This window comes from Homo sapiens, chromosome 5 (assembly GCF_000001405.40).
Source record: "Homo sapiens chromosome 5, GRCh38.p14 Primary Assembly".
In the NCBI taxonomy this organism is placed as follows: domain Eukaryota; kingdom Metazoa; phylum Chordata; class Mammalia; order Primates; family Hominidae; genus Homo; species Homo sapiens.
Genome location: NC_000005.10, coordinates 107,775,102 through 107,784,976, shown reverse-complemented (window position 1 = coordinate 107,784,976; position 9,875 = coordinate 107,775,102). Strand labels below are relative to the sequence as shown.

The 9,875-nt window shown below is 36.4% G+C and overlaps 1 long non-coding RNA gene across 1 annotated transcript; it reads right to left on the bottom strand.

Annotated features, from left to right (window-relative positions):
- Nucleotides 1-4,018: 4,018 nt before the first annotated feature.
- On the bottom strand, nt 4,019-6,109 carry LOC124901039 (uncharacterized). The gene is made up of 2 exons (XR_007058896.1): nt 5,952-6,109; nt 4,019-4,195 (listed from the first exon to the last, which is right to left on the bottom strand). It is a non-coding gene; the product is annotated as an uncharacterized LOC124901039 (long non-coding RNA).
- Nucleotides 6,110-9,875: the final 3,766 nt, after the last annotated feature.

Genomic DNA, 9,875 nt, shown 5'->3' with positions numbered 1-9,875 from the left:
TTCTAATACTTCAAGGAACCCAGCTGGAAAAAGGCTGCTATTGGGTTTTCCCATTGCAATTTGAATCTTAGAAGCAAAGCAGTGTCAGGAGAATATAGCTTTGTTAGAAGTACAAGTAACTTGGTGGCTATAATGGGTAATCCTTCAGTAATACAATCAATGACTGTAAATATAATATTTATAATATTTATAAAAACCTAGTTGTTTTTATTATTTCTGAAGAATCTTTTTATTGTAATTAGGGAGCGGATCAAGAATATGTCAAATAAAGATTGTAGATGACCACTGAACTGAGGCAAGAAACTAATTTATTAATCCTGCTACAATTGCAGTCTCAAAGAAGATGAAAGAGTTAGAACTCGTTGGGTTAAGAGTTATAGATTTCTATAGTTAGAAAGGAATGATAAATGATGAGAATAGGTAGGATAATTTCAGAATGGAATATAACTGCTGAATATTATTTATGTTTTATTATATGTCAAGAGCATTGCAGTGTTAAAATTTCATCTTGAAATATAAATCTAAAGATATATTAATCTGCACCCGCGTTTCTGAAATAGTGGAATCCTCAGATGAAATTGGCACTCTGTGCATTTGTCAGTTCATTGATACTCTTGTCATTTTGTGGAAACAGAGAAAAGGAAATGAACATTTTCTATTTTCCAAAGAGTTCTGCTTCTTTTTTTTCCCATGAACTTACATTAGCAAAAATCAGTTGAATATTATTTTGTTGGGTACAGTGATGTCAGTAGCTGTCTGTGAAAGGAAATAACAATTTTGTAGCCAAGGACAAAAATTAAGTTTTCATGCCTAAATACATGAAGGCCATATAAAACACCTTAACTCCAGACTATATCCTATTTAAACAACTTCCAGACTGTCATACTAAGAGAATGAGGGAGGCTTTATACAGTCTGAATTAAATATCATCAGCCTTATAAGTGGGATCAAAAACTCATAAAATATTTCTAATTTCAAAACTAGTCATCCTTATCATTAAAAAAATGAAAGAATTGCTTAGTCTTAACTCGTATAGTGTACTTGCCTTAGATTGTTAGACAGGAAATAATGAACAGGAAAACTATATGCATGTTTTACAAATAACACATTCATATTTATAAACATGCATATATGCACTGGTTTGGTTGATACCTCAGCAAAAGGGTCTGTGCAAAAGATTTTTCCCAGTAATACTTTCCTATTCCTTCTCACAGCAGTAAATGCTTAGTCATGATCTCAACTCTGTCTGGAAGACTCAGTAATAGTTAAATCCACTGTAACACACATTCCTTCTGCCATTCTTACTAACTTACTGCTTAATCTCTTTCAAGACAAATTCTGAACCCACTCACGTTTCTATTAGTGGTAAGTTGGGCTAGGCTGCAACATAATTATATTTAAGACTTCAATTTACCTATCTTTTTCTAGATCATTTTTACCAAATGTCTCTTTTCTATACAAAATGCATTCAGTTCTCCTTCCTCCAAATGGACCAGACCAGTATTTGTAAGTCACCAGGTCCATGATAGGAAGTTCCGAGATTATTATAGACATGGAAACTACAAGTTTTCTAATTATTTTTAAGAAAAAAAGGAAACACCTAGATTGAAAATCTTATTATGGCCTTTTTTGTCCTGTTTCTTCCCTTGTTCCTCCTTACCCAAATGCCATCTGTCAATATTTGAGCGTGGGCCATTGGGTCTCTATTTCCACATTTCCTTTGTCAAATGCACATGTCATTATTCTCCTCGTCAGAAGAAGAAGTGAGGTGTTTCTTTCAATATTATACACTCATCTTATCTGGGGCTGATACTACAATCTCCTTGAGTAAAGTTTACTTTCAAGTGAGCTATAAAGGAGAAAAAAACTAATGCTTCTTAGTAATAGAACAGATTCCAAATATATGAAGTTGATGGGATATTGGGATTGGTTTTCTAAATTAAAATTATATTGCCGTAGATTCCTGTAAGAACAGGATATCATATGTCAGCATTTTCTCTCCTTTCCTCTATGTAAAAGCACAAAGTAAATAAAGAAAACTTCTGTAAACATTATTTTCAGTGAGAAGATAGGAGACAGATATAATCAACGAATTCTAAAGTACATACAAAGGCCATAAAGCTTCTAGGGAAAACATGTCAAAATATTTTTATGACACCAGAGCAAGAAAAGATTTTTTAGGCAGGACACAGAAAGCACTATCCACAAAAGAAAAAAATAATGAATTAGATGTCCTCAGAGTTGAAACTTCTGCTTATCAGAAGACGCTTAAAAAATAAATAGGCAAACCGCACAGGGAGAAAATGTTTGTCTTATATATATCTGGCAAAGTGCCTATATTCAGAATATGTAAAAAAATCAATTATTTAATTTTAAAAAGAAAAAAATCTCTTTTAAAATGGGCATTCCCAGAGTTAGCCAAATTGCAAGGTCTGAGGGCATAGTCTTCCACATAACCACCTTCACTTCTGATACCAACTTCAAGTTTAAGGAAGCCCAAAATCACCATCAGTCTTGATAATTGATTGGAAGTTCTCCCAGAACTCACTTAAAACTATTATTCTCATAATATGGTTAATTATAGAGAAAGAATACAAAAAAACAGCCAGCAAAAGAGACACTCAGGGCAGAATCTGGTCGAGTTCCCAACATGAAGCTTCCATTGCGCTCAGGACACATTACCTTCTCAATGTCAATGTGTGACAATAGACATGAAGTCTTGTCAACCTGGGGAGCACAGCAAGGCTAACGGGTCAAGTCTCCTAGAAAGGCAAAAATTAGGCTGGCTTCAAATCTCTCCAAAGAAGTTTTCAGCACCTCAACAATTTAACATGCTTAAGGAAAGAATAGTGTAAGCCAATCATTTTATATTCAGCCAAACTTTTATTTCCAGCAAGTGTAAAGATGACAGACAAAAGTTTTGAACGTGTAAAACTTGCAGAATAGAGGAAGCACTTCTAAACTGGCAGAGTAAGAACCTGACAAAATCTGTTGTATATAAAAGCAATTTAAAAACTGGCCCCAAATGGCCAAAATTAACCTTTTCAGAACTTTGGAAATTAACCAAAGACTTGCAACAATTAGAGAAGCATTTATTCAAAAAAAAGGGCTAAACTTTGATAAGAATAGTACATTTTGTGGTGTTTTAACTTGCTCCATTCCTGTTTTCCTCTCTCCAACTATGTGGTAGCTTTGAAATCTGGGAGCCTCACAGTCATGGTGGCTGTGAAAACCAAAATCCTGGCAGCCACTGAACAGGGCTGGGTTTGGATCTCCTCCAAAAGCCTTACACGGAGAGAATTACCACTGTTTGATCTGTCAGCTCCCTTAAAAAAAATTAGAAAGATTTTCTTTATTTGACCTGACTCAGAGTTCACTCCATGAGAAAAGCTCAATACCCAAACCATTTGTTGAAAACAGTCAGTGGCAATTGTTTATTATTGCAGCTGCATGAAGCAGTACTCCAAGCTGGGGCAAACAAGAGGCTAACCAAAATAATTAAATGGTAAGTGTGGGTCATTAGAGGTCTGTAGGAGATTTTGAAAAGTTTTGACATACTCCTGGGAATCTAGATAGCCATGTGCATTTGCAGGACTGTGTGTATGATCAGGAAAGACCTGAAGAGGCCCTAATCTCTCAACTCTAGCTGAGAGTTAGTTCTGTACAAGCAAGAAGTGAAGACTAAGGCAGAGTTGTGAACTTCCCTAGAATTGAAGGTGTGTCCCAACACATACACACACACACACACACACACACACACACACACACAGCCTCTCAGCAAAGTGTGGGAGGGAGATTTATTGGTCCTGGAATTTAAGCAAATGTCTGTTCAATCATTAGCTGACCACTAAACTAACCAAGTAGAGACTACATGGGCAGCACACAACAAAGAGTACAACTGTATGAATTACTTCAAGAAAGTCATTAAACAAACAAATAGCCACAACAACAAACCCTGGGAAAGGGATATACTAGAGTTCTACAGAGAAACAGAACAAATAATATATACCTACAGAGAGAGAGGGAGAGAGAGATTTATTATACCAAATTGGCTCAATAAATTATGGAGGCTGACAAGTCCCAAGTCCAAAGATTCACAGTCAGCAAGCTGGAGACACAGGAAAGCTGATAGTGTAGTTCCAATCTGAAGACCAGCAGGCTCATGACCCAGGAAGAGCTGTGTTTCAGTGTGAATCTGAAGGCAGGAAAAAAAACAATGTTCCAACTTAAAGGTAGTCAGGCAGGAGTTCCCTCTAACTTGCTTTTTATTTCCTATTCAGACACAGAATATTAATACTGTGTCTATTTTTATTTTTATAAAAGTAATTGAGCTTTTTATTTTTTTAAAGTAAATTTTACAGTTGACTTTATCTTTTAAAGTTTTCTTGGAATTTTGATATTCTGGTAATTGTCACTTATTATAATTTGCCTTTTCATTTTAATATATAACTTTTGACATTTTAGAATAAAAATAACTTTTGAAAAATATACAAAAACTAATATTAATTTTTTGTTGGATTTAAATTTTGACTTAAAATTATATTCAAATGTCATATACTTTTCTGTTACCCTTTACGTTTAACACTTTATTCTTGGAAATAGAACAAAAGTTATGTGAAACTCTTAATTATTACAATAGAATTTTGCACGTGACTATGAGGGCTTGGGGAGAGGGAGAAATGGAAAGTAAGTGCTTAACAGGTTGGGGTATGAAAATGTTTTGTAAGTAGATAGGGATAGTAATTGCACAACACTGTGAATATCCCAAATGATGCTGAATTGTTCATTTTAAAATGATCAATTTTATGTTATGTGAATTTCACCTAAATAAAAAGGCAAGGCAAGACAAAATTTTAAGGGGCAAAGGAAAGGAAGGCAAGACACAATTTTGAGGGATAAATATATAATAATTTATGAATTATATGTGTCTTTTTTTGTTATTTATCCAAACATCAGCAGCACATCAACAAAAATCAAAAAATAATTAAATTTTGTCATCTTTTGTATTTTGCTGACATTCAGTCATATAAAAACATATTATTTTATAATATACATATTATTCTTTATATGTATTCTTTATACATATTACTCCATTTTGTTGTTATGAACCTATATTTATCAAGGTAGATGAAGAAAGTATATTTTATTGGCAGCTAGCTTCAATGTATAACTTTTATATTTGTAGATATAATGTCTACCTTTTACATATTACGACATATGATATACTAACCTACATCTGTACTCCTGCTTCAAGCCCCGCCAGTGTTAAGGATAGGCCTGGTCTGCAGTGTGTGATGCAGCAAAAGACAGTGAAAAAGATAAAGCTCTGGATAGTTCTTGCAGCTGTTCATCCAGTAATGCATGGAGAATGTTAAATAACAGGAGATACTTACTAAGTGCTATTTCAGGGTAAATGATGAAATTCTCAATTAGGAATTAAGTGTTCAATCTGATTTCCATATGTTTAATCTGTATGATTCATTTAGTGATATTTAAAAAGACAGTTTACAGAGAAAAGGAGACTTTAGAAGTTTATTACATTAGCAATATCATTCCAAAGGACTTTGCCAATCTCTTAAAAATATACATTAACATATATTATGAAAAGCATTGATCTGAATATCAGTACTTAAAATAGATGATTTTTTATCCATCGAAGGTTTGTAAAGGTTTACCTACCCACTGACCTCTTAGATATATCCAATAAGATATAGTTGGAGAAAAATATGAGGAAAACACCAAATAGGAGTTTATTTACAAGGCAAGTATGTCCCTTAAATTAATATATATGGCACAACAAAGACCTACACACTATACAGCTGCCAGTGAAAAGCTAAATGATCACTGAGCAAATTTCATCTAGAGGGGTTGGTGTTATGTAGAACTCCATCTAGAAATGGCCTTGGCCAAAATAATATTTTTTCTTGTGTAGTCATTATACCCGGTCTTACCTTCATGAAATAATCTTAAGCCCATGACAAATATCCTCTGGTAGCCCCATCTGCAAAATAATTTTTATTCTCAGTCCTTCACAGAAAGTTAAAGGCTTCAGACATTATGAAGGTCAGGAAAGTGATCTGCATTTCTTTTGTAGCTAACCTTCAGCACTCATGACTGCAGCTGTTCTGAGAGCTGATGTCACACGACAATTCTAGGAGGGTTTGATTGACAATGCTGCATGATAGCCCAACCAAAAAATTAATCCGTGTTGAAAGCATTGAAGCACCCTAAAGACAGTCAGTTGGGTCTTTTTCACTTTTTCTTAGAGATAGTAAGGATTATAGTGATTCTTCTATCCTTGAGGAAAGGTAACAAGCAGACATCTGCACAGCATCTTAACGTGTGTATTTTCAGCAGGTCAGCCATCTAATCTGGGAGCTTTAGTCTTCTTCACAATCATACTGAAATGTCAGTTTGTCAGAAGATAGTATCACATCAATGCCAAATATCTGAGTGGTGGGGCCGCATTGGGCCATGGCAACACTATCTATGATGATGGAAGAGCTTGAAAGGTGATCACAGAGGCATTGTTGTTATGTCCAAAGGGTCCTCCCTTGTCAGCTCTTCAGAAACTCCTTCGTAACCATGGAGTTCAAAATAATCTTTCATGTGAAACACTTCAAAATGTCACATTACAATTGTTATTCTTCCAGCTAGCATTGAGTTTTCATGGTGCAAAAAGAGCAAAGAGAAGAAGTGCTTTTGAATGTAAACCCTGAGAAGGCAGGGAGCAATCCTTCTTCATAATCTGATAGCTATTTTCATCTCAAAGATGCATAGAAAGATCTGAGTTTAGGCAAGACATAACTTCGAAGTTCCCATAGCCTAAAAAATTGGAATGTCCTCAAAGATGAAATTTTACCCCAAATCATCATGCCTGCTATTTATTTTCCCCATTCCCTTCAACCTGCAACTGCATCCACAGTCTCCAACTTAATCAGTGACCTTTATAATCAAAGGATAAATTGGGTCTTCCATAAAACCAAAGTCACAACTCAGTGGTTCTACTTCCATTCCTCTTCCTGACTCTGATACCTCTGTGAATGGAAGACTTGCCTTAGCTCATCTCTTGCAAAATACAAAGGAAAATATCTTTGAGAAGAGGGAAAAAAAATATATATATATATATATATGTGTGTGTGTGTGTGTGTGTATGCATATATGTGTGTGGTATATATATATAAATAGAGAGAGAGAGAGAAATAGTTTCAAAAGGCCATGTAACAGAAAGGGGTTTGTTCCTTTCTCCCCTGAACTATCAGAGAAATGATAAGAGAACAGATCTTGAACACAATGCCTTTAGGTTGTCAGGCCAACCATGCACTCTGCCACTGGAGTTGTGAAAGTCTTGAAGGGAAAGATCACAGCTATTTTACTTACCAAGAGATAAAACTACCATGTGTAGAAGAGCTAGGCCTGAGAGCTGTCATTTCCCCTCTGACTTCTGCTTGCTGCAGTCTGCTGAAAGATGTTATGGCTGACCGACCCTCAAAAATAGACACTGTGATGGTGATATATTGTGGCCCTTGAAGAATTTAATTGTCAAATTGACATTTATCAAAAGGCTTAGTGCATTTAAAAGATAAATTGTGCAAGTTTGGTTCAGATCAAAGAGCCCCTGCCCTTCTCCATTCATAGCACAGGCCGGCTTCAGCAGGCAAGTCGTGTGTGAAAAATGATCCCCTTCCACTCCCAGCTCCTTTAAGCACTGCACTGGTGACAGATAATCAGAAATTTAAGTGTTAGCCTCCTCTTCAGAAAGTTCTTAAAATAATGGAGGACCCATTGAGACCATTTGTATTTGAAAGGAATGCTAAATAATTTAGTGTGCACGAGCAGGATGCACTGTGCTGGGCAGATAAATGATGAAACCCCAGCACAGCCTCTCTTCAGCAGTTGCCACACTAATTACAGATCAATTACTTCCCAGTTGTTTTCAACCTTATCAAAGAATGGTAAATTTACTGAGAGCAAAGTGTGATAAGATGACTTTTCATTATTACAGTAGATTTGTTGAAACAGCTCCGACACTGAGATTAATAAGAGCTCGCCCAGGGGTAATAGGATCCGTGCATATATAGGGAGAATTTAAGAGCTGAAAACAGGATGCTGGGCACTATCATAAAAACCCTTCCTCTCATTAATTGTTATCACTAGTGTGTTTATAATGCAGAAGTAAGGCGGAGAAATGACCCATTCACTGAAACTGGCCTAAAACAATGTAGCTCTTTACTTTCAAAAAGGCACGTGGAAAATCAAAGGAAAGTAAAGGCATTTTGGTTTGGAAGCAAGGGAATTTGTGTGTGGGGGCGTGGAGAAAGGGTATGTGCATTTGTATGTTCTAGCTGAGGTCCATTTTCATTAAGACAGTCACAAAGAGATGGTCTGTTCAGTGTCACTATAAAAAGAACTCTCATGGTTTTTGAAGAGCTAAGACCAAGTTTGAGGGTAGCTGCTAGGGCCACACATAGCAAGATCCCTCTTGTAGAGCAGAGGCCTGGGAGGAAAACTAAGGGTTCACAGTGGCTGGGAAATCTTTCAGGTAGGAATAAGTAATGTGCGATGTTCTTAATACAACATATATAACTATGGGACCCTATTTTAATTTTTTTAAATTGAGAAATAACTCATTGAAAAATACTTACATTGGGTGAATTTTAAGACCCGTATACCAGTCTACTAGCCTTCGTAGGCCATTTCCACATACATCTCTCCTAATAACCGCAAGTCTTAATGGGTACTTGGAATGCCTGTGGAATTGTTTATTCCAATTTGCAAGCTCTTGCTATTTTACAATTTCTGGACGCCGGGTGCAGTGGTTCACACCTGTAATCCCAGCACTTTGGGAGGCCAGGGTGGTAGGATCACTTGAGCCCAGATATTCAACACCAGCCTGGGCAACATGGCAAAACCCTGTTTCTACAAAAAATACAAAAAATTAGTTGGGTGTGGTGGCACACACCTGTGGTCCCAGCTAGTCAGGAGGCTGAGGTGGGAGGATCACCTGAACCCAGGGAGGTCGAGGCCGCAGTGAGCCATGATCTAGCCACTGCACTCCAGCCTGGGTGACAGATAGAGACCCTGTCTCAAAAATAAGATAAAATAAAATTTTGATCTGGTCAGAGGAATATGTGAGAAATGAAGAGAAAATTCTACCAAGACTTGGGTAACCAGAGTCATGTTTAAAATCCCAGTGAAAATGGGGGAAGAGAGAAGCTGGGAGGCAGGAGCCAGCTTTTGAGGAATATGCCATCTTTTCTAAGACATTTTAATAAAGTCTCTCATTTTTCCTGACTTTTAAAGGAAATAAGTAACCATACGGTAAAGATCAGATCTCTTCATGAATTGAAAACCAGCTAGGAAAGGAAAGGACTTGTGGGCTTGCGAGGCAGCGTTTAGTAGCAGCACATCAACCCCCACCCTTGTTGAGTGCTGCTTATGGGAGTAGGAACTGAATATGCTTTTCCATAAATTACGTTTAACTTCCTAGGAAATCTATTCCATTAAACTCTATGTGAGTATCCTTATTTTTTGAACATCCTCAAATAAGTAACCTGAAGCCCAAATACAGATAATAGTGTCTACCAGATTTCTTTCTGAACCAAATTTGAAGCCTGGTTATGGATGTTCAATGCCAGTAATTCTCTTCCTTCAAGGATAAGCAATGGCAAATTTGAAGACATTTTAGACGCAACCAAGCAAATTGGGAAAGAGGGCAGACAAAAGGCATGTAGTATTTAATTTAGACAAATGAAAGGAAAGATGCTAATGACTGGGGAAAGGCAATATGAAGTTTGCCTTCTTCAAACTTGTTACATATACACACAAACTTAATTCATACACATCCCTGTGGAAGGGTCTTCAAAATAGTTGTT